Source organism: Homo sapiens, chromosome 22, assembly GCF_000001405.40.
Source record: "Homo sapiens chromosome 22, GRCh38.p14 Primary Assembly".
Taxonomy (NCBI): domain Eukaryota; kingdom Metazoa; phylum Chordata; class Mammalia; order Primates; family Hominidae; genus Homo; species Homo sapiens.
This window is the reverse complement of record NC_000022.11, coordinates 19079659-19104342: the sequence shown is the minus strand read 5'-3', so window position 1 is coordinate 19104342 and position 24684 is coordinate 19079659. Positions and strand designations below refer to the sequence as shown.

Genomic DNA, 24684 nt, shown 5'->3' with positions numbered 1-24684 from the left:
TCTAGAGAAAGAATTTGTATTGCAGAGACTCGTGGGTTTCTACAGGGCATGAATCCACTAATTCCTGGGCGTTGCATAGCCCAAAGCAGTAGCTCTCCAAGTGTGCCCAGGGGTCTCTGGGGGTTCCCTGACCCTTCTAGGGGCTCCGTGAGGTCAAAACTGTTTTCATGATAATACTGAGGTGTCATTTGCCTTTCTCTCATCCTCACAAGCATAAGGTAGCATTTCCAGACACTATTTGATATGTGATGACATCATTGCTCTGACAGCTAATGGGATGTATGCTTGGGATTCTCTCTTTTTTTCTCTCTCTCTTTTGAAAGAACAGTGCCTCACTGTGTTGCCCAGGATGGATTGCAGTGGCTGGGTCATAGCTCACTGTAACCTTGAACTCCTGGGTTCAAGAGGTACTCTCACCTCATAATAAAATAAAAAATAAAATTTTTATTTTATTTTATTTGTAGAGTCAGGGTCTGGCTATGTTGCCCAGGCTGGTCTTGAATTCTTGGACTCAAGTGACCCTCCCACCTTGGCTTCTCAAAGTGCTGGGATTATAGGCATGAGCCACCGCACCTGGCCTTTTTTTTTTTTTTTTTTTTTTTTAAGAATTTTTTTGGCCGGGCACGGTGGCTCACGCCTGTAATCCCAACACTTTAGGAGGCCGAGGCAGGTGGATCACGAGGTCAGGAGATCAAGACCATCCTGGCTAACACAGTGAAACCCTGTCTCCACTAAAAATACAAAAAATTAGCCGGGCGTGATGGTGCGCGCCTAATCTCAGCTACTCGGGAGGCTGAGGCAGGAGAAGGGCATGAACCCGGGAGGCGGAGCTTGCAGTAAGCCGAGATCTTGCCACTGCACTCCAGCCTGGGTGACAGAGCGAGACTCCGGCTCAAAAAAAAAAAAAAAAAAAAAAAAAAAAAAAAGAACTTTTTTTATTGTGGTAAAATACACATACAATTTACCAGTTTTAAGTACACAATTCAGTGGCATTAAGAACATTCAGAATGTTGTGCAGCCAGCACCACTACCCATTTCCAGAACTTTTTTTTTTTTTTATCATCCCAAACGGTAACTCTATACTTTTTAAACAGTAACTCCCCAATTCCCCTGCCCACAGCCTTTGGCAATTTCTGTCTGTATAGATTTGCCCATTCTAGATATTTCATACTAATGGAATCATACAATATGTTGTCCTTTGTGTCTGGCTTCTTTCACTTAGCATTATGTTTTCGCAGTTCATCCATGTTATAGCATGTGTTAGTATTTCATTTCTTTTTTAAATTGTGGTAAGATATATGTAACATAAAATTTACCATATTATCTTTTTTAGAGACAGGGTCTCACTCTGTTGTCAAGGCTAGAGTGCAGTGGTGCAATCAAATCATAACTCACTGCAGCCCTGACCTCCTGGGCTCAAGTGATCCTCCTATCTCAGCCTCCGGAGTAGCTAGGACCATAGGTGCATGCCACCGTGTCTGGCAAATTTTTCTATTTTTTGTGGAGATGAGGTCTCACTATGTTGTCTGGGGTGGTCTCAAACTCCTGGCTTCAAGCGATCTTCCTGTCTCAGCCTCCCAAAGTTCTGCGATTACAGGCATTAGCCACCATGCCCAGCCCCATTTTAACCTTTTTTTTTTTGAGACGGAGTCTCGCTCTGTCACCCAGGCTGGAGTACAGTGGTGCAGTCTTGGCTCACTGCAAGCTCCACCTCCCAGGTTCACGCCATTCTCCTGCCTCAGCCTCCTGAGTAGCTGGGACTACAGGTGCCCGCCACCATGCCCGGCTAATTTTTTGTATTTTTAGTAGAGATGGGATTTCACCGTGTTAGCCAGGATGGTCTTGATCGCCTGACCTCATGATCCACCCACCTCAGCCTCCCAAAGTGCTGGGATTACAGGCGTGAGCCACCACGCCCGGCCCCATTTTAACCATTTTTAAGTGTACGGTTAATTCAGCAGTGCTAAGAACATGCAGAATGTTATGGAACGAGCACCATTACCCACTTCCAGAACTTTTTTGTCAATCCAAACAGAAACTATACCCATTAGACAATACTCCCTATTCTCCTCACCCCTAGTCCTTGGCAACCACCATTCTACTTTCCATCCTTATTAAATTGACTACTGTAGGTACTTCTTATGAGTGAAATCATATACTATTTGCCTCTTTTGTGTCTGTCTTCTTTCACTTAGCATAATGTTGTCCAGGTTCATTCATGTTGTAGCATGTGTCAGAATTTTCTTCCTTTTTATGGCTGATGGCTGATCACATTCACTTTTGTTTTTTATTTTTTGTCTCACTCTTTCACCCAGGCTGGAGTATAGTGATGCGATCTCGGCTCACTGCAACCTCTGCTTCCCAGGTTCAAACAATTCTTGTGCCTCAGCCTCCCAAGTAGCTGGGATTACAGGCGTGTGCCACCATACCCAGCTAATTTTTGTATTTTTAGTAGACACGGAGTTTCACTATGTTGGCTAGGCTGACCTTGAGCTCCTGGCCTCAAGTAATCCACCTGCCTCGGCCTCCCAAAGTTCTAGGATTACTGACGAGTGTGGTGAGCCACCATGCCTGGCCCACATTCACTTTTTTTTTTTTTTTTTTTAACAGTTTTGCTCCTGTTGCCCAGGCTGGAGTGCAATGGCGTGACCTTGGCTCACTGCAACCTCCATCTCCCTGGTTCAAGTGATTCTTGTGCCTCAGCCTCCCAAGTAGTTGGAACTACAGGTGTGCGCCACCACGCCCAGCTAACTTTTGTACTTTTGGTAGAGACGGGGTTTCACCGTGTTGGCCAGGGTGGTCTTGAACTCTTGACCTCAGGTGATCCGCCCACCTCGGCCTCCCAAAGTGCTGGGATTACAGGCATGAGCCACCATGCCAGGCCCCACATTTACTTTTGAAGCGACACAATACACCATTACTTGGTTGCCCATGGGGTACTACATGCCTCCTGTTTTTATGGTGGAATAATATTCTTTTGTAGAGCTATACCACATTTATTTATCCTCCCATCTGTCATGGCCACTTGGGTTGTCTCTGCCTCTTGGCTAGTATGAATAATGCTGTTGGGAACAGTGGTGTGCCAGCATCTGTTTGAGTCTCTGCTTTTAATTCTCTTGAGTACATGCCTATGAGTGGAATCGTGAGCATTTGATAATTCTATTAAAAGGTTAAAACCTTTGAGCAGGTGCTTCAGATTCTTGTGTTCAAAAAATTCTCAAGTGTTTTTTTTGAGACAGGGTTTCGCTGTGATGCCCAGGCTGGAGTACAATGGCGCAGTCTCGGCTCACTGCAAAGGACCATCCACCTCCGAGGTTCAAGTGGTTCTCCCACTTCAGCCTCCCGAGTAGCTGGGACTACAGGAGCGTGCCACCACGCCCGGCTGATTTTTGTATTTTTTGGTAGATACAGGGTTTCATCATGTTGGCCAGGCTGGTCTTGAACTCCTGACCTCAAGTGTTCCGACCACCTTGGCCTCCCAAAGTGCTGGGGTTACAGACGTGAACCACTATGTCTGGCCAAATTTCTCAGTTTTAATTTCTGATACAGTAAATATTGACAGATATAACCCACATAAATAAAAGCTCTTTGGGGTCTTCAATAATTTTAAGTGTATTAAGGTGTCTTAGAATGAAGAAGTCTAGGAACTGCTGATGTGGCAGGTTTTTTTTTTTTTTTAAACGGAGTCTCGCTCTGTCGCCCAGGCTGGAGTGCAGTGGCACGATCTTGGCTCACTGCAACCTCCGTCTCCCGGATTCAAGCGATTCTCCTGCCTCAGCCTCCCGAGTAGCTGGGACCACAGGCACCCACCACCACGTCCGGCTAATTTTTTTGTGTTTTTAGTAGAGACGGGGTTTCACCATGTTAGCCAGGATGGGGCTGTCCTTATGTTGGTACTGTGGCTGGTATGTTGTGGGCATGGATTGTTTCATAAAGTGTCAACAATCCATTGGCTAAGAGGAGCTGGCCTGCCTCTGCCATGCTACAGCAAGGTGACAGTCATCACCAGAAGGCCTGGGACAGGACCTTGTAAAGCCATCAGTGAAAAGGGGTGACTTTCTTTTTCTTTTTTTTGAGACAGAGTCTTGTTCTGTTGTACAGGCTGGAGTGCAGTAGCGTGATCTTGGCTCACTGCAACCTCGCCTCCCCGGTTCAAGCGATTCTTGTGTCTCAGCCTTCCGAGTAGCTGGGATTACAGGTGTGTGCCACCACGTCCAGCTAATGTTTGTATTTTAGTAGGGACAGGGTTTCGCCTTGTCCAGGCTGGTCTCAAACTCCTAGCCTCAAGTGATCCTCCTACCTTGGCCTCCCAAAGTGCTGGGATTATAGGCATGAGCCACCATACTGGGTCAAGGGTGACTTTTTTTTTTTTAAAGACAGAATCTTGCTCTGTCGTCCAGGCTGGAGTGCAGTGGTACAATCTCGGCTCACTGCAACCTCTGCCTCCTGGGTTTAAGAAATTCTCTGCCTCAGCCTCCAGAGTAGCTGGGATTACAGACATGTGCCACCATGCCCAGCTAATTTTTTTGTATTTTTAGTAGAGTCAAGGTTTCACCATCTTGGCCAGGCTGGTCTTGAACTCCTGACCTTGTGATCCACGTGCCTTGGCCTCCCAAAGTGCTGGGATTACAGGCGTGAGCCACCACGCCTGGCCAAGGGTGACTGTTTTTAAGCAACTTTGTATGTGGCAGAAGTTGCACTTACTGCTTTACAGAGAGACTGTGGAGGATATTGAGAAAGGACAGGCAATTTTTTGTTGGTGGTGGTGTTTTGTTTTTTTGAGACAGGTTGGAGTACAGTGGTGTGATCGTGACTCACTGCAGTCTTGACTTCTCAGGCTGAGGTGATTCTCCCACCTCAGCCTCCTGAGTAGCTGGGACTACAGGCATGCACACCACCACATCTGGCTTATGTTTTGTATTTTTAGTAGAGCTGGGATTTCACCATGTTGGCCAGGCTGGTCTCGAACTCCTGGGCTTAAGTAATCTACCTGCCTTGGCCTCCCAAAGTGTTGGGGTAACAGGCGTGAGTCACCACGCGTAGTCAGTGGAAACGCAGTGTTGATGTCCAGCTAAAGCAATGCCAGTTTGACCTGTTGGAGTCACCATCTGGTGTGCTGTGCTGGATGCAAGCTCTGTCATGTCCTGGAATTGACTTTCTTTGTTCATTACCACAGCCCTGTCACCTGGAGAACTGCCTGGCACAGAGTAGGTGCCAGTGTTAATGAGTGATCCACATCTTCAGTTGCTTCCAGAATAGACCCGGCTTGACAGATGGATCAAGAAGGGAGAAAAACCTTCCCTATTGGAGAACTTCTGACACTTCATTGTCTGCTAGCAGAATATGGGAAGATTTTGAGCTGTGCAGTTCATTAGGCATTTAGTGCATGCCTCCATGTGTGGGGTGTTGGTGACATGGAGTATGGGGCAGCAATAAAGATGTGTCCCTCAGCCAGACACAGTGGCTCATGCCTGTAATCCCAAAACTTTGAGAGCATAAGGTGAGAAGATTGCTTGAGCTCAGGAGTTCGAGACCAGCCTGGGCAACATAGCAAGACCTTGTCTTTACTAAAAATAAAAAATAAAAAATTAGCTGAGTATGGTGGTATGTGCCTGTAGTCCCAGCTACTTGGGAGTCTGGGGCAAGAGGATCACTGGAGCCCAGGGTGTCTACGCTGCAGTAATCTGTGGTCATGCCGCTGCATTCCAGCCTGGGTGACAGAGCGAGACCCTGTCTCAAAAAACAAAACATTTACATGTATGTAAAATGTCCCTATATGTATACTCGAGAACAGGGTTTGGCAAACTATACCTGCAACTGGCCACTGTTTTTTTTTGTTTTTCGCTAAAGCTTTATTGGACATGCCTATGCCCACGCATTCCCATATTATCTGCAGCTGCTTTAGCTCCACGGCAGCAGGGTTGAGCAGCTGTGGCAGAGAGAGGGTGGCCTGTGAAGCTGGCCACCTGGAAATACTTATCATCTGGCCCTTGAAGGAAAAGTGTGCTGACCCTACTCAGGGTGTGAAGAAAAGAACAGAGAAGGGCTGCTTAGGAAAACAGGGCTAGGCCAAGAAGGCCGACTCAGTTAGGGGAGTTTGGGGAGGGGTTCCTGGAGAGTGGTGTGTCTTGAGACCTGGGGAGAGGGGATGCCATGGACTAAGGCCCAGCAGTGGGGAGCCCAGCTGTGTTCAGGATGTAGCAAGACAGTCATTCTGCTGATAGCTTATTTTTCCTCTTTTGATAACTATTTTTTTTTTAAAAGTCTGGAGAAAGAAAGAAAAGGACAGAAAATCCGTGTGGGGGCTATTTTAGCCAGAGCTGTCTGGTTGTAAGGAGTAGCTGTAGGAGGAACTTTTCCCTGAGCCCAGGGAGGAAGCACAGCCATCCTTGGGGTCATGGGACTGTGAAGGGTGTTGCTCCCCTTTCTCAGCCCTTCTGGTCTTAGCCCTTACCTCTTTCTGCCTCAGGGTGCACAGAACTTCAAGTGACTGTCTCAGTCTGGCTAGCCTGGATCTTCCCACTCCCATCACCTTACAGACTCTTCTCATTGGCCCAGCCTGGGGCAGGGCAGGTGGCACTCATGGAGTGGCCAGATGGGCACTTCTCAAAGAGGAAGGCTGTTTGGGCCTTTGGAGCCTTTCCCAGACATGCATAGAGTATGGAGAGAAGAAGTATTCTTCAAGTGTGTTTGAGTTATGGACACTAAGTGTGGTCGGCTATGCCCTGGGAACACAGGAGTGAACAGTGCAGACATGACCTGTGCCCTCAGGAAGCTTTACTTTTTTTTTCGAGACAGAGCCTTGCTCTGTCGCCCAGGCTGGAGTGCAGTGGTGCAATCTCAGCTTACTGCAGCTTCCGCCTCCCGGATTCGAGCAGTTCTCTGCCTCAGCCTCCAGAGTAGCTGGGATTACAGGCACCCGCACCACACCTGGCTAATTTTTGTGTTTTTAGTAGAGACGAGGTTTCAACATCTTGGCCAGGCTGGTCTTGAACTCCTGACCTTGTGATCCACCCGCCTCGGCTTCCCAAAGTGCTGGGATTACAGGCGTGAGCCACTGCACCTGGCTGTTTCACTTACATATCTATATATGTATATATATATATAGGTTTACTATATACTGATATATAGGAAGCCAGGAGTGACAAGTACTACTTAGAAGCAGCCAAGGCAAGGCAAGGTGGATGTGGTGCATGGGGGAAGGGGCCTTGTTTGCCAGAGAAGACTTGGCTGACGTTTGCTTTTGGAGGATATAGGGGTATGGAGAAAGAAAACCCCCAGTGTTGTTACTTATTACTTCTTACTCAACTATTTCCAAAAATAATTTAAGGTAGTGCATTGAAGTTTTTCTGGGCCTAGGGTATGATATGTTAGGGCGTAGATTTGGAGGGCTGTGACATGAGCTATGAATTTACTTTGAACAACACCATAGGGTGTTTTTTTTTTTTGTTTTTTTTTTTAATAGAATGGACACTGTTAAAATATTCTGCTGGGCGGGGTAGCTCAGGCCTGTAGTCTGAGGTGGGAGAGTCATTTGACTTTGAGGCACCATGATTGTGCCTGTGAATAGCCACCACTGCACTCTGGCCTGGGCAACATAGTAAGACCCCATCTCTAAAAAATAAAAAAGAATGTTCTGTTGCTAAATCTCTATTCAGTGAATGAACTCTTTCTCAGTATAGTTTGGGAAATTAGAAGGCTTTTTTTTTCCTTTTTCCTGCATTAGTCTTTAAAAAAATTTTTTGTTAACTTTATGGACACAGTAGTTACATGTGTGGGGTATATATGATATTTTGATACAAGCATAGAATGTGTAATGATCAAATCATGGTAATTGGGGTATCTGTCACTTCAAGCATTTGTAACTTTTCTTGTGTTAGGAACATTCTGATTCTACTCATTTAGTTATTTTGAAGTATAGAATAAACCATTATTAACTATAGTTAACTGTGTTTTTGTACCTATTAACCAACCTCTTTTTCTCACCTCTGCCTTTCCCAGCCTCTGGTAACCACTACTCCACTCTCTAGCTCCATGAGTTTAACTTTTTTTAAGCTCCCACATATGAATGAGAACATGTGAAGTTTGTCTTTCTGTGCCTGGCTTATTTCACTTAACATAATGTCCTCCAGTTCCATTCATGTTCCATTTTTATGGCAAAATAATAAGAAGTTAGAAATTTTTAATAAAACTGAAGACCTAGAATACACTGAGGAGGAATGGAGGGTTCCAGGTTCTTGGTCTAATGGTTAATTGTGGCTGAGGAAGACAGACATTAGGCCAGAAGAGCATGTCCCAATTGCTGATTTACTCATCAAATAGTGCTTCAGTACCAGTCATGGGGCAAGCCCTGGATTTATAATTATGAAAAGGACCTAGCTCCTGTATGGATGGCGGGGGTGAGATCTGGTAGGCCAAGGCTGTCTTTTCCAGAGAAGCAAGCACGTTAGGTGGGCCATGATTCAATTTAGTTCTTCAGTTCCAGGCATATCTAGTCCTAGAACACAGGGTGCCTGGATTTTTAGCCTTGTGGTCAGTATCTTTTGATCTCAAAATTGTTTCCTGATTTTTTAAACAGAAATCTATTTCATGATAGTTAAAAAAAGCCTTATTGAGGTATAATTGACTTATAATAAATGATACATAAAGTGTAAAATTTGAGTTGTTTTTTTTTTTTTTTTTGAGACGGAGTCTTGCGCTGTTGCCCAGGCTGGAGGGCAGTGGCGCGATCTGGGCTCACTGCCAGCTCTGCTTCCTGGGTTCACGCCATTCTTCTGCCTCAGCCTCCCGAGTAGCTGGGACTACAGGCGCCCGCCACCACGCCCGGCTAATTTTTTGTATTTTCAGTAGAGACGGGGTTTCACCGTGTTAGCCAGGATGGTCTTCATCTCCTGACTTCATGATTTGCCTGCCTCGGTCTCCCAAAGTGCTGGGATTACAGGTGTGAGCCACCGCGCCTGGCCAAGTTTTTTGTTTTTTTGAGACAGAATTTTGCTCTTGTTGCCTAGGCTGAAGAGCAGTGGCGTGATTTCGACTCACTGCAACCTCTGCCTCCCAAGTTCAAGCGATTCTCCTGCCTCAGCCTCCTGAATAGCTGGGATTATAGGCATGCACCACCACGCCTGGCTAATTTTGTATTTTTAGTAGAGATGGGGTTTTTCCATGTTGGTCAGGCTGGTCTCGAACTCCCGACCTCAGGTGATCCATTCACCTCAGCCTCCCAAAGTGCTGGGATTATAGGCGTGAGCCTCTGCACACGGCCAAATTTGAGTTTTCATATATGTATAAATCTGTGAAACCGTCACCACAGTCAAGATAACAAACACAGCGTATCGTCACCCCAAACATTTTCTCGTGCTCCTTTGTAATCCCTCCCACCCCCATCCCTTTCTGTCTTGATAGCTGCAAGTGCATTTTTTAGATTTTTATATAAATGTTGTCATACAGTAGGTATTCTTTTGAGTACATACTGGCTTCTTCACTCAATATAATTATTTTGAGATTCATCCATGCTGCGGAATGTGTTAATAGCTTATTCCTTTTTATTGCTGAGTAGTATTCCATTGTATGGCTGTACACAACTTACCAATTTGCTTCTTGATAGACACTGTTTGTTTCCAGCTTTTGGATATTACAAATAAAAGTACTATGAACAAGTCTTTGTGTGGACATATGCTTTCATTTCTCTTGGTTAAATACCTAGGAATGGAATGGTCAGATTATATGGTAGGTATACATTCAGTTTTTAAAGAAACTGTCAAATTGTTTTCCAAAGAAGTTGTACCATTTACATTTTCACTGGGAGAGTTCCAGTTGCTTCACACACTTGCCACCACTTGGTATGGTCATTCTTTTTCATTTTAGCCATTCTAGTAAGTGGTTTCTCTTCATGGTTTTTTGTTTTTGTTTTTGTTTGTTGAGACGGAGTCTCATTCTGTCGCCCAGACTGGAGTGCAGTGGTGCAATCTTGGCTCACTGCAACCTCTGTCTCCTGGGTTCAAGCAATTCTGCCTCAGCCTCCTGAATAGCTGGGATTACAGGCGCCCGCCACCGCACCCATCTAATTTTTGCGTTTTTGGTAGAGATGGGGTTTCATCATGTTGGCCAGGCTGGTCTCAAACTCTTAACCTCAGGTGATCCACCCACCTCAGCCTCCCAAAGTGTTGGGATCACAGGCATGGGCCGCCGTGCCCCACCTTTTCATGCTTTAATTTGCATTTCCTTAATGACTAGACGTTGAGCATCTTTTCATGTGCTTGCTAGCCATCTGTATATATCTTCCTTGGTTAAGTGACCATTAAGATCTTTTGCCTATTTTATTTATTATTTTTTTTTAGAGTTGGGGAGGTCTTGCTGTTGCCTAAGCTGGAGTGCAGCATTGCAATCCTAGTTCACCACAGCCTCCAACTCCTAGGCTTAGGCAGTCCTCTTGCCTCAGCCTCCTGAGTAGCTGGGACTACAGGCATGTGTCACCAAGCCCAGCTAATTTTTTTGTTTTTTTTTTGTAATGTAGAGATGAGGTCTTGTTATGTTGCACAGGCTGGTTTTGAACTCCTGGGCTCAAGTGTTGCTCCCACCTTGGCCTCCTAAAGTGTTGGGATTACAGGTATAAGCCATTGCACTTGGCCCATGCCCATTTAAAAAATTGGGTTGTTTTCTTATTGAAATTTGAGCATGCTTTATATATTCTGGTTACAAGCAAGCCCTTTATCAGATACATGATTTGCAAATGTTTTCTCTCTGTGTGTGGTTTGTCTATGCATTATCTTAACATGTCTTTTGAAAAACAAAAGTTCTCAATTTTGATGAAGTCCAATTTATCAATTTTTTTTATAGATTGTGTTTTTGGTAGATATATTAAAGGTATTTGCTTAAACCAAGGGTGCGAAGATTTTCTTCTTGTGTTTTCTTCTCTTGAGTTTTATAGTTTTAGGCTTCACCTGTAGGCCTATGATCGATTTTGATTTTTTTTTTTTTTTTTCGAGGTGGAGTTTCACTCTTGTTGCCCAGGCTGGAGTGCAATGGCACTATCTCGGCTCACCACAACCTCCGCCTCCCAGATTCAAGCGATTCTCCTGCCTCAGCCTCCCGAGTAGCTGGGATTACAGGCATGCACCACCATGCCTGGCTAATTTTGTATTTTTAGTAGAGACAGGGTTTCACCTTGTTGGTCAGGCTGGTTCGGAGCTCCCGACCTCAGGTGATCTACCCGCCTCAGGCTCCGAAAGTGCTGGGATTACAGGCATGAGCCACTGGGCCTGGCTATTCTGAATTTTTTATGCGGTTCAAGGAATGGATCAAAGTAGTTGTTCTTTGTTCCTCTTTCTTCCTCCTCCTCCTCCTTCTTCTCTTCTTTCTTCCTCCTCTTCCTCCTCCTTTTTTTAACTTCATTTTGTAGATGAACTCCTTCCTTCCTTCTTCCTTTCTTTCCTCCTCCTCCTCCTCTTCATTTTTCTTTCTTCCGTGTTTCGCAGTACCATTCTGTTGAAAGGCCTGTTCTTTCTTCAGGGAGCTGCCTTTGCACCTAGGTCTTTAAAAAATGTTTTTTCTCAGCAATGTTGAAAATTTTTCAGTGTACAGGACTTCACATCTTTTGTTAGATTTATACCTAAGTATTTCTTATTTTTTGATACTATTGTTAATGGTAATTTTTAAATACCTGAACTTACAGTAGAGTTTGTATAGAATTGACATCAATTCTTCCTTAAATATTTGGAGGAATTTTCCATTGAAGCTATTTGTGCCTGGAGTTTCCTTTGAAGATTTTTAACTAAAAATTCAATTCCTTTTAGGGCTGTTCAGATTGTTTATTTATTTTGGAGTGAACTTTGCATTTCATCTTTCAAAGAATTTGTGTATTTCATCCAAATTGTCAGATTTATTGACATAAAGTTTTTCATACTATTACCTTATTCTTCACTCCTCTGTTAGCCTTTATACTTTCTCTGGAATCCACAGTGATGACATCTCTCTTCTGATAGTAGTATTTTTTTTTTTTTAAGATGGAGTCTCGTTCTGTCGCCCAGGCTGCAGTGCAGTTGTGTAATCTTGGCTTCCTGTAACCTCTGCCTCCCAGGTTCAAGCGATTCTCCTGCCTTAGCCTCCTGAGTAGCTGGGACCACAGGCATGTGCCACCACACCTGGCTAATTTTTGTATTTTTAGTAGACAGGGTTTCGCCATGTTGGCCAGGCTGGTCTCGAACTCCTGACCTCAGATGATCTGCTGGATCATCTCCCAAAGTGTTGGGATTACAGGTGTGAGCCACCATGCCTGGCCTGGTATTTTGTATTCTTTATTTTTTTTTGCTGATCAGACTGTCTAGAGGTTTATTAATATTACTGATCTCAAAAAAACAACTTTTGTTTTTCTTATTTTCTCTATTTTTCTGTTTTCAATTTCAGTAATGTCCACTCTCATCTTTATTATTTCTTACTGCTGGGTTTCATTTGCTCTTCTTTTGTAATTTCCTTTTTTTTCAGGTTCAAGCGATTCTCCTGCCTCAGCCTCCCACGTTGCTGGGATTACAGGCGTGCATCACCACACCCAACTAATTTTTGTATTTTAGTATTCACCATGTTGGCCAGGCTGGTCTCGAACTCCTGTCCATTCACCATGTTGGCCAGGCTGGTCTCGAACTCCTGACCTCAAGTGATCTGCCTGCCTCAGCCTCCCAGAATGCTGGGATTACAGGCATGAGCCACCACGCCCAGCCCTTGCTGGTTTTCTATCTGCTTGTTCTATCAAGAGGGTTATTAAAAGCTCTGACTTTAATTGTGGATTCGTCTATTAGCAGTTACAGTAGTTTCTGTTTCATGAATTTTGAAGTTTCTTTTGTAAATTTTAATAGATACATAAACATTTAGGATTATGTCCTCTTGAATCAATCCCTTTATCATTATTAAATGACCTTCTTTATTCCTGGTAATATTTGCACTGAAGTCTACTTTGTGTGATATTAATACACTCCAGCTAGCCTTTTTTTGAGACAGAGTCTCACTCCTGTTGCCCAGGCTGTAGTGCAGTAGCACGATTATAGCTCACTGCAGCCTTAACTTTCCAGGCTCAGGTGATCCTCCCACCTCAGCCTCTCGAGTAGCTGGGACTATAGGCGTTTGTCCCAATACCCGGCTAATTTTTTGTATTTTTAGAGAGATGGCATTTTGCCATGTTGCTCAGGCTGGTCCTGAACTCCTGGGCTCAAGTGATCCTTCTGCATCAGCCTCCCAAAATGCTGGGATTATGGAGATGACAGGAATGAGCCATGTACCTGCCCTTCCAGCTATCCTTTGATTAGTGTTAACATGGTATATCTTTTTTATTCTTTTATTTTCTCTTATTTATGCCTATATAAAGTGAGTTTGTTTTAGGTAATATGTAGTTGTATCTTGATTTTTTCCCTACATGACAAATTCTGCCTTTCAGTTGGAGTGTTTAGATCGTTCTGCGTATTTATTGATTAGGCAAGTTTAATTAAAATCTACCATATTACCCTTTGTTTTCATTTGTACCATCTGTTTGTCTTTTTTTTTTCCTTCTTTTGGATTATTTTTTATTCTCTTCTATGTTGGCTTACTTGCCACAACTCTTGTGTTATTTTAGTCGGGTTCATCATTAACTTATCATAGACTACCTTCAAGTGATGGACCACTTTACCTGTAGTTTGAGAGCCTTAAAACAGTGTGCTTCTGTTTCTCTCTTCCCACCTTTGGTGCTACTATTGTCAAAATTTTACTTCTGTGTATGTTATAAACTGCACAATACAGTATCTGTGTGTTTGCTTTAAATAATTGTAGGTCAACAGCTTTTTCTTTCAGAACTTTAACATGTCACATCACTGTCTTCTAGGCTGTATCGTTTCTAATGAGAAATCTGCTGTCATCTAGATCTTTGTTTTTCTGTGCATGTCTTCTTTTTCTGCCTGCTTTTAGGATTTTATCGCTGATTTTAAGCAATTCAATTCCAATGTGACTTGGAATTGTATTGTTTGTATTTCTGGTGCTTGTGGTTCATTGAGCTACCTGGATTTGTGGGTTTATAGTTTTCATCAAATTGGGAAATTTTCCCCATTGTTTCTTCAGATGTTGTGTCTGTTCCCCCATGTATTAGGGTGTGTGAGGTTGTTCCACAGCTTACTGATGATTTGCACATTTTTTCCTGGTATTTTTTCATTCTGTGTTTTAGTTCAGAGTGTTTCTATTATTATATCTTCAAGTCACTAATCTTTTCTACTACAAAATCTAACCTGTTAATGTTCTGCAGCGTACTTTTCATCTTAAGTGTTACAGTTTTTATCTCTAGGTAATAGGTTCGTAAAGGGCCAGGCATTAAATGTTTTCAGCTTTGCAGGCCATATAGTCTTTTCTGCAGCTACTCAGCTCGGCTGCTGTAGCTTGAAAGCAGCCATAGACAATACATATTTGTGGCTGTGTTCTGATAAAACCTGATTTTAAAAACAGATGGGGGCCAGGCACAGTGGTACATGCCTGTAATCCTGGCACTTCGGGAGGCCGAGGCAGGCAGATCACTTGAGGCCAGGAGTTCAAGACCAGCCTGGCCAACATGGCAAAACCCCGTCTCTACTAAAAATATAAAAATTAGCTAGGCATGATGACACATGCTTGTAATTCCAGCTACTCAGGAGGCTGAGGGACAAGAATTGCTTGAACACGGAAGGTGAAGGTTGCAGTGAGCTGAGACTGCACCACTGGCACTCCAGCCTGGGTGACAGAATGAGACTCTGTCTCAAAAACAAACAAACAAACAAATGGGAAGAGATTGATCCAGCCCATGGGCTATGGTTTGCTGGCCTACTGCCACTTCCTCAATGGCCTCTCACCCTTTGGTCCCACAGAGCTGCGGTGCAACCCTGGGCAGTTTGCGTGTCGCAGCGGCACCATCCAGTGCATCCCCCTCCCCTGGCAGTGTGACGGCTGGGCGACTTGCGAGGATGAGAGCGACGAAGCCAACTGTCCAGGTGAGTGTGTTGAGTAGGCGGGGTACACACCACCTTGTCTCTTTGTTGTAGCTGGGTGACTGTGCCTCTTGTGAGGGGTGGAGGTGTGTGCTGTCTTAACACATTGGAAAGTTAGTTTGAGCCGACCCCTTCCTCTCTCTCTGTCTTTCTGTCTTTTTAAAAAATAAGTGCCCAACCTAGGCAGATCCCAGAACTTGCAAGATGGCAGGGCTGTGGGGAGGCCCGTGAGATGCCCAGGAGGCTCCACTTAAGGAGGCGCTGCACTCCCTGGACTTGGATGATCTTGAGTGTGAACCCCTCCTGAGGGGTGGCACCTTGGCCACCTCTCTGACCTTATCCCCATCCTGGCTCTGGATGTGGGTGCCTCTTGATCCTGAATGTGCTCTTTTAGACTGGCCTTGGCACGCCCTCCCCTCCTGCTCACTCATTCACCTGGAACTTTGCACTCACAGGTTCTCTCCTGGCCATTATGTAGTCTCCTAAAGATGTATGGAAAGGCCACAAAAAGGCTAAATCGGAGAACCAGGTTCTTCACCTGGTTTCTGCCTCAGCACCCTCAAGGAATACAGGGCACCCCATGAATAACAATGTTCACTGGATCCGTTGTTCTCAACTTTGGTTGGGTGGGAGGTGTAGTGAGTACTTGTGCATGTGTGTGTGAATGTGTGAGACATACATATACATGTATCCATGAATTCGTTTTTAAGACTAGGTGGTGCTGATAAAGCCACTAAGGGGAAAGTGTGTCTTACCCCAGCTTGAGAATCACAGGCTTAAATGCTTTGGCCAGACATGCAGACTCCTTCACAAGCTGGTTTAGGTCTGCTTTGCCAACCTGATTTATCACTACTTCCCCTTCAGTGGCTCAGCTGGGCTGTTTCTTGTGCCCACCCCATTAATAATCTTGTAGATGTGTGCTTCCTTTATGTTTTCCTGGAATTCTCTTGTTCTGTTTCTGCATAGACAAGCCTTACCATCCTTCAAGGTGTAGCTCAGATGTTACCCCAGTGGGAGAATGTCTGTGGTCCCTCATTTTATAGATTGGCTTCTTCCAGTCCCCCATTCGTCCCTCTCTTATAGCATCAGAACCATTGGTAATTCTCACCATTCCTGGTGCCCAGGCTTGATTTTTCCATCCAGACCATGAGTTCCCAGGGGGCAGAGACCTTTCTCCTTCCTTAGTGGGACTTGGCCTAGGACATGAAAGGTGTGCTGTAATTCCTATAGGCTTAGTACTGAAGGAAAACCAATTCATTCCAACCAGGGTATTAGGTAGGGGATTAGGTGACATTTGAACTTGTGGTAGTTCTTTGAGGGGGGGTTCCAAAATAAGAAGCAGAGATGGTCTGGTCAGATTGTATTTGCCTGTAAAGAATGCTGTTTAGGCAGGGTGCGAAGGCTCACACCTGTAACCCAACACTTTGGGAGGCTGAGGTGGGTGGATCGCTTTAGGCCAGGAGTTTGAGATCAGCTTGGCCAACATAGTGAAACCCCGTTTCTAATAAAAATACAAAAATTGGCCAGGTGTGGTGCTGCACACCTATAATCCCAGCTACTCAGGAGGCTGAGGCACAAGAATTGCTTGAACCTGGGAGGAGGAGATTGCAGTGAGTCAAGATTGTGCCACTGCACTTTATCCTGGGCTGCAGAACAAGACTCTGTCTCAAAGGCAAAAAAAAAAAAAAAAAAGCCAGGTGCAGTGGCTCATGCCTTATAATCCCAACACTTTTGGAGGCCGAGGCAGGCAGGATCACTTAAGGTCAGGAGTTTCAGACCAGTCTGGCTGACATCGTGAAATCTCATCTCTACTAAAAATACAAAAATTAGCTGGGCGTGGTGGCGAGCACCTGTAATCCCAGCTGAGGCAGGAGAATCACTTGAATCCAGGAGGTAGAGGTTGCAGTGAGCTGAGATCATGCCAGTGCGCTCCAGCCTGGGCGACAGAGTGAGATTCTGTTTCAAAAAAAAAGAAAAGAATGCTGTTTAGAGGGGGCCCCTCCTGATCATCTCTGGAGCCCATTCTTCATCAGATTATGCGTGTCTCTGGTAGAGGTGTTTGCCTTTCCAAATGAGGGTTTGGATGGTGTTGGCCCGGTCAGGAGCCTCTGGGACAGTCCTTTGTCTGGGAGCCTCTCTGGTGGGTCTTTGGGGTCAAAGCCCAGAGAAAGTGGATTCCCAGTGGGCTTCCCAGTGCTTGGGCTGCTGAAGTTCCCTGGTTGGTCAGCCTGGGGACGACCATGTGGTTATGAGTGGGAGCCTCCCCTTGTCTGACTCATAGAGTGAGACCTTATATCCAGCCTCTTGGAGAATTCCTGAAGAGAGAACCAGATGATTCTTGGTTTGCTTTCAAATGGAAGCAGAGTTTATTTGTTGTTCTCAAAGTGCCATTTGGCTTTGCTTTTGTAGTTGTTTGTAATAACTGTCCTGTTACACACGCTGAACATAGTGGTATCCACACTCATAGTTGCCACCTTGTTCATCTTTCCACGCTCTGAAGACTTGTTGAAGGCAAGGAGTAGGTTTTATTTCTCTTGACCACATGGCCTGGCATGGAGCAGGCATCAACTTTGCACTTGAGTATTGGCTTGAAGTTACATTGGTTGCCATATGTTTTCCCTAGACAGAAAAATAAAATCTCTCATAGAAGCCGAAAGTTACGAGTGGTGGCCTGCACCAGGGCTGAGCAGTGAAGGCATGACAATGAGGACCCGTGTGTGCAAGCCCCCTGAGGCTTGGTAGGGCCTAGGAGTGTTCTGGGTGGGCTGAGGAGGCCACTGCCCTGACAAGGCTCACCCTGCTTCTCCTTGACTCACGGTCCTATGATTGTCCTTGTATAGTGCTGTGTCACAGTCTGGAGGGTGAGCAGATTGATTTCTTTTTTTTTTATTTGAGATGGAGTCTCGCTTTGTTGCCCAGGCTGGAGTGCAGTGGCGCCATCTGGGCTCACTGCAAGCTCTGCCTCCCGGGTTCATGCCATTCTCCTGCCTCAGCCTCCTGAGTAGCTGGGATTACAGGCGCCTGCTACCACACCCGGCTAATTTTTTTTGTATTTTTAGTAGAGACAGGGTTTCACCGTGCTAGTCAGGATCGTCTCGATCTCCTGACCTTGTGATCCGCTCTCCTCGGCCTCCCAAAGTGCTGGGATTACAGGCGTGAGTCACTGTGCCCGGCCAAGCAGGTTGATTTCTAATTGTTCTTAAAGTTGAGATTCTGAGCAAATTAAGTCATAAAAATGTACAAAGAATGTGTAATACGTATTTTCTTACTTCCTTGAATTAATGACTGCTAAATCTTGTGATTTTTTTTCTAGTTTATTTTAAAAGAAATTTTTAAAAAATCATAGATATAGAGTCAAGTCCTCATTGACACTCTCCCTTCCCCCAACCTCCTCCCCTCTCAAAAAAGGAAACTCTTTGTGTTTGTGGGGGAAGTAGAGAGTTAGCTAATAACCACCCTTGCTCAAAAGCTGTGACCTTCCTTTGTATGAGGAGAGTTTCAGTAACCCCTAGGGAAGCCCTGGGCCATTCTCAGTCAAGTTGCTTTTGAACTAGACTTCAGGACTTCTGGAGTTACCTTATGGGGTTACTTCATTGCCCTGCTAAAAGCCTGCTAAAAAGGAGTATAAAAAATGTAAAACCAAAGGGACAAAAAAAGGGGAAAGATGTAACAGTAGATCAGTAATTTCTGCATGTTTTTGAAAAGAGGGAAATGACATGCTAGGTACAGCCTGGGCATTCAGTACCTTCCCACTCACTCCCTTCTGGGCTTGTCCGTGGGTTTCAGAGGCTGGAATGCTGGAGCAGTAGCACTCAGAACCACCTGGCAGCAGGCTTCTGTGTGTCATTTGCCCTATGACATGTGTCTTGGGAAATGTGGCAAGTGGAAGGGAGGTGGAACCTTTCTTCCTCAGGCCATAGTGTATGTTGGGGGTGTGCATGGGCTTAGATTTTTGAGGTGACTTTTTGCAGTGGCTTCTGCCTTCCCCCACTGGCCAGCTGTCTCAGGGCTGCAGAGCAGCTGCAGTATTGGCAGCAGATTTTTGCAGTTTCCTAACCTATAGATGGCAGTAGTAGCTTCCTGACTCTTGACAATGACTGTGGGAATTAGATGGGGAGTTAGCCCACTTTACTTTTGCTCACACTATATAGCCTTGCCAGTTGTTTTGAAAGCACCTATTTTCTGTATTAAACCCTTCGTGTTAGAAATCCCTTAGCATGGTTTCTGTTTTCCCAGTGGAACCATCTTTGTTTTTTTTTTTTTTTCCAAGGCAGGAGAATTTTTCTTAGTACAGAACAAAATGAAAAGTCTCCCATGTCTACTTCTTTCTGCACAGACACAGCAACCATCCGATTTCTCAATCTTTTCCCCACGTTTCCCCCTTTTCTATTCCACAAAACCACCATTGTCATCATGGCCCGTTCTCAATGAGCTGTTGGGTACACCTCCCAGATGGGGTGGTGGCCGGGCAGAGGGGCTCCTCACTTCCCAGAAGGGGCGGCTGGGCAGAGGCGCCCCCCACCTCCCGGACGGGGCGGCTGGCCGGGCGGAGGCGCCCCCCCACCTCCTTCCCGGACGGGGCGGCTGGCCGGGCGGGGGCTGACCCCCCACCTCCCTCCCGGACGGGGCGGCTGGCCGGGCGGGGGCTGACCCCCCACCTCCCTCCCGGACGGGGCAGCTGGCCGGGCGGGGGCTGACCCCCACCTCCCTCCCGGATGGGGTGGCTGCCGGGCGGAGACGCTCCTCACTTCCCAGACGGGGCGGCTGCCGGGCGGAGGGGCTCCTCACTTCTCAGACGGGGTGGCTGCCGGGCGGAGGGGCTCCTCACTTCTCAGACGGGGCGGCTGCCGGGCGGAGGGGCTCCTCACTTCTCAGACGGGGCGGCTCCCGGGCAAAGGGGCCCCTCACTTCTCAGACGGGGCGGCTGCCGGGCGGAGGGGCTCCTCACTTCTCAGACGGGGTGGCCCGGCGGAGACGCTCCTCACCTCCCAGACGGGGTCGTGGCCGGGCAGAGGTGCTCTTCACATCCCAGACGGGGCGGCGGGGCAGAGGCGCTCCCCATATCTCAGATGATGGGCGGCCGGGCAGAGACACTCCTCACTTCCTAGATGGGATGGCGACAGGGAAGAGGCGCTCCTCACTTCCCAGACTGGGCGGCCGGTCAGAGGGGCTCCTCACATCCCAGATGACGGGCGGCCAGGCAGAGACACTCCTCACTTCCCAGACGGGGTGGTGGCCGGGCAGAGGCTGCAATCTCGGCACTTTGGGAGGCCAAGGCAGGCGGCTGGGAGGTGGAGGTTGTAGCGAGCCGAGATCACGCCACTGCACTTCGGCCTGGGCAACATTGAGCACTGAGTGAACGAGACTCCGTCTGCAATCCCGGCACCTCGGGAGGCCGAGGCTGGCGGATCACTCAAGGTTAGGAGCTGGAGACTAGCCCGGCCAACACAGCAAAACCCCGTCTCCACCAAAAAAAATATGAAAACCAGTCAGGCATGGCGGCGCGCGCCTGCAATCGCAGGCACTCGGCAGGCTGAGGCAGGAGAATCAGGCAGGGAGGTTGCAGTGAGCCGAGATGGCAGCAGTACAGTCCAGCTTCAGCTCGGCATCAGAGGGAGACCGTGGAAAGAGAGGGAGAGGGAGACCGTGGGGAGAGGGAGAGGGGGAGGGGGAGGGGGGAGAGGGAGAGGGAGAGGGGAACCATCTTTGATATAAACGAGAATTAACAAAAGATGTGTAAAATTTTTGAGGGAGAAAAATTTGCAGTTTTATTAAGAGACATTAAAGAAGACAAGTAAATAGTGGCAGAATGTTCTTGCCTAGGAAGACCGAATCTTTTAAAAACTCATATTGTTCTGTGGATTCAGTGCATCTTTAAAGCTCCGTGAGTTTTATGTGAAATGCGATAAGTCGATTCTAAAATGTTGAGAAGAATTAAGTCGTAGTATTGAGAGGTCGTTGTGAAGAAGAGGAATGAGGAGGGAGCACTTGCCTTGCCCGTATCAAGATTTACTTCAAAATTGGCTCAGGGAAATCCAAATTGGCCAGTGAGACAGAAGCTGTCAGAAACAGACCTAAGAAGCTTGAATTCCAGAGGTGGAATTACATATCGCTGTGCAAAGGGCAGACTCTTCAAACACAGTGCTGTGACAGTCGGAGAAGGATGCAGTTGGATCCCTAACTCACAACATACAGGAAATTCAGTTTTGGATAAATTATAGGAGACTATCTTTAAGACCTTGATAGGGAAGTGTGCCTTTTTCTTTTTCTTTTTTTTTTTTTTTGAGACAAGGTCTGGCTCTGTCACCCAGGCTGGAGTGCAGTGACACGTTCTTGTATCACTGCAACCTCCGCCTCCTGGGCTCAAGCCATCCTCCTACCTCAGTCTCCGGAGTAGCTAGGACTACAAGCGTGCACCACCATGCCCGGCTAATTGCATGTTTTCGTAGAATCGGTGTTTCGCCACGTTGCCCAGGCTGGTCTCTAACTCACGAGTTTAAGCAGTCTGCCTGCTTCGGCTTCCCAGAGTGCCTGGATTACGGGGGCATGAGCCACTGCGCCCAGCCACCTTTTTCTTTTCTTTCTTTCTTTCTTTTTTTTTCTGTTTTTTTTTGGAGATGGAGTTTCGCTCTGTCACCCAGGCTGGAGGCTGGAGTGCAGTGGTGCGATCTCAGCTCACTGCAACCTCCACCTCCTGGGTTCAAGTGATTCTCCTGCCTCAGCCTCCCGAGTAGCTGGGATTACAGGCATCTGCCACCACGCTCGTCTAATTTTTGTATTTTTAGTAGAGACGGGGTTTTGCCATGTTGGCCGGGCTGGGCTCGAACCCCTGATCTCAGGCGATCTGCCTGCCTCGGCTTCCCAAAGTGCTGGGATTACAGGTGCATGAGCCACCATACCTAGCCTCTGGCCACCTTTTTCTTAATCACATAAAATATTCACTCTAAAATAAAAATGACTGAATTTGCTAGATTAAAATTAAGATCTCTCGTTTATTGAAAGACACCAATAGGCCAGGTGCTTATGCCAGGAATCCCAGCACTTTGGGAGACCAAGGTGGGCAGATTGCCAGAGCCCAAGAGTTCCAGACCAGCCAGGGCAACGTGGTGAAATCCTGTCTCTATGAAAAAAAAAAAAAAAAAAAAAAAGAAATAATTAGCCAGATGTGGTGGTACACACTTGTAGTCCCAGCTTCTCAGTAGGCTAAGGTGGGAAGAATCACCTGAGTCCCTGAGGTCAAGGCTGCAGTGAGCCGAGATTACACCACTGGACATCAGAGTGAGACCCTGTTTCAAAAAAAAAAAAACAAAAAAAACCCCAAAAAACACCAGTAAAGACTGTGAAAAGACAAGCTAGAGTAGAGAGAAGATATTTGCAACACTTACAGCCTGTAAAGGATAAGGATTCTAATTCAGTGTATATAAAGAACTCCTATAAAGCATTTCGTAGATGGTGATTAAACATAGAAAAAGACATTTAAATTTAACCTCGTTAGTATTCTAAGACTACATACAGTGAGATACCACTTTACAGATGCTTAGACTGGCAAAAATTAAAATGTTGGAGAAGATATGGATAGTGTGGAAATTTTATGTGCTTCTTTACACCCACTCTGGAATAGAGACATTATCTTGCAAAGCTGAACATTCTTATTTTCTGTGATCCAGGATTTCTATTTAGGGAAACTCTGGAAAAATCCTTGCAGAATTGTTTGTACAGTTTTTCCAGAGTGGGTGTAAAGGAGCAGATAAAATTCCAAGCCATCCACATCCTCTCCAACTCTTGGTTTTGTCAGACATCTTAATTTTTGCCATTGATACATGTCTTGGAAACAACCCAAATGTCTGTGCTCACATGATGGAATGTTATACACCAGCAACAGTAAGTGAATGTTAGGTTTATGCAGCAACATGGATGAATCTTGAAAACAGAACGTCAGCTAAAAGCAAGTTGCTAAAAACGACATATGGCACAATATAGAGAAGCAAAACAGATCGTTATATTACTTATAGATACATACACATGTGGTAAACTAAAAGAAAAAAATAAGCGCAGTGATACACAAAATTCTAGTTCCTGGTGGAGAGACAGAGGGATATAAGACTGGGAGAAGCAAAATAATGCTTGATTTCCTAAATGGGGTGTGGGGAGGTCGCTCACAACTATATTATTAGGCTTATGAATCTTACATGTGTGCTACATACATTCTTTGAAATGTTTCACATATTATACAGCTTTTTTCCTTTCCAAAGAAAAGCCAATGGGAGAGTTAAACTGACCTGGTGTAGCAGAGCAGCTGCAACCATGGGCCTGCTTGAGTGAGAACAACAAGAAATAAGCAGTTTGCCCAGCAGCCTCCCAGAAAGGCTCAGCGCTTGAAGGCTCTGAGTGCCAAGGGTGGCAGGCATCAGGCATAGGCATGGGAGTGGGATAGGGATTGGTGGAATTCTCTTGGCACTCGCATTCCCTTCTTCACTTTCCATCACTGGGTGACTCTTTCTGCTACCATAAGATGTGGGGTTTCATTTCTTTTTTTTGAGACAGAGTCTTGCTCTGTTGCCCATTGGAGTACAGTGGTGAAACCACAGCTGAATGCAACCTCAAACCCCTGGACTCAAGCGATCCTCCCACCTCAGCCTCCTGAGTAGCTGAGACTACAGGCGTGTACCACCATGCCCAGCTAATTTTTAAATTTTTTGTAGAGACGAGGTCTCGCCCTGTTGCTGAGGCTGGTCTTGAACTCCGGGGCTCTAGCAATCCTGCCCCCAGCCTCCCAAAGTGCTGGGATTACAGGCATGAGCCACTGTGCCCCGCAGGAGTTGATTTTCTAGACCAACACTGTCCAGTGTAGTAGCCATGAGTCACATGTGGCTGTTTTGAAGGAAGATGTGCAGCAGGTGTAAAATACACACCAAATAGGAAAGACCTAGTACAAAAAAAGAATGTAAAACATCCCATGAATACTTCTTTATATTGTTTCCATGTTGCAGTAATAGTATTTTGAATATATTGGGTTAGATAAAGTATTAAAATTAATTTCATGTTTGTTTCTACTTGTTGAAATGTGGTTTGCATTGTGTTTCTATTAGACAGCACTTAAAGTCTGCAAAATAAGTGACACCAGGTACAACAGAGGGGAGTCGTGGAGGTTGAAAATAGAGGAATTAAGAGAAATTCTCTGTAGTGACAAGTAGGTAATAAGTAGGATGCTCAGGCCTGTCTTCTGCCCTGCTCTCCAGATGTCAGCAGCCAGGTGTTTTCCCAGACAGGAGATTGGAGGAGTCTTTTCTAGAGACACTGGCACTTCATACAAGAGGTAGAAAAGTGTCAACATAATGGAAGGTTTCCAACTGAAAGACTAGCTCTCCCACCGTGGTCCCTGACAAGCGTCTAGCCCACTAGGCTCACTAGAGCCTCTGGCTAGCTGGGTCACCTTCCTCTTATGATGAAAGACAACCAGTGCTGACCAGATCTAGAAGAAAACATCCACTGTGGATATTCGCCAGAGTCTGAACAAAGCACACCAGACCAGAAGGGCCACAGCAAAGTGGCCTGAGGCAGCCAGCTCTGCTGTATGTCATATCGTGGTTAAATGTGGGGGCTTGAGCCAGGGACTGGGGCTGCTCCCCTGCTTTCACCACTTACTGGCTGTGATCCTTTGGGCAAATTGCATCCATAAAATGGAGAAAATAATAGTGCCTGTCACTTGGGG

The 24684-nt window shown here is 45.9% G+C and overlaps 1 protein-coding gene and 1 long non-coding RNA gene across 6 annotated transcripts in view, besides 2 other annotated features; both read left to right on the top strand.

Annotated features, from left to right (window-relative positions):
• The window catches only part of DGCR2 (DiGeorge syndrome critical region gene 2), an 86127-nt gene that overhangs the window by 18070 nt on the left and 43373 nt on the right, over window positions 1–24684 (top strand). For 2 of the 5 annotated variants that reach the window (NM_001184781.2, NM_005137.3), the window contains exon 2: window positions 14853–14975. The exons of the other annotated variants lie outside the window; for them this stretch is intronic. In NM_001184781.2, coding sequence (NP_001171710.1) covers window positions 14853–14975 — 123 coding nt within the window. The remainder of the gene's footprint in view (window positions 1–14852; window positions 14976–24684) is intronic. 5 annotated transcript variants of the gene reach the window in all.
• Window positions 4159–9656, top strand: LOC124905078 (uncharacterized). The gene is made up of 2 exons (XR_007068002.1): window positions 4159–4198; window positions 5177–9656. It is a non-coding gene; the product is annotated as an uncharacterized LOC124905078 (long non-coding RNA).
• Window positions 17300–17799: an enhancer, noted in NCBI's record as "H3K4me1 hESC enhancer chr22:19074057-19074556 (GRCh37/hg19 assembly coordinates)". NCBI's record gives its function as "activates a minimal SCP1, AML or CMV promoter by ChIP-STARR-seq in primed H9 embryonic stem cells {active_cell/tissue: H9 hESC(primed)}" and the evidence as "EXISTENCE:reporter gene assay evidence [ECO:0000049][PMID:30033119]".
• Window positions 17800–18301: an enhancer, noted in NCBI's record as "H3K4me1 hESC enhancer chr22:19073555-19074056 (GRCh37/hg19 assembly coordinates)". NCBI's record gives its function as "activates a minimal SCP1, AML or CMV promoter by ChIP-STARR-seq in primed H9 embryonic stem cells {active_cell/tissue: H9 hESC(primed)}" and the evidence as "EXISTENCE:reporter gene assay evidence [ECO:0000049][PMID:30033119]".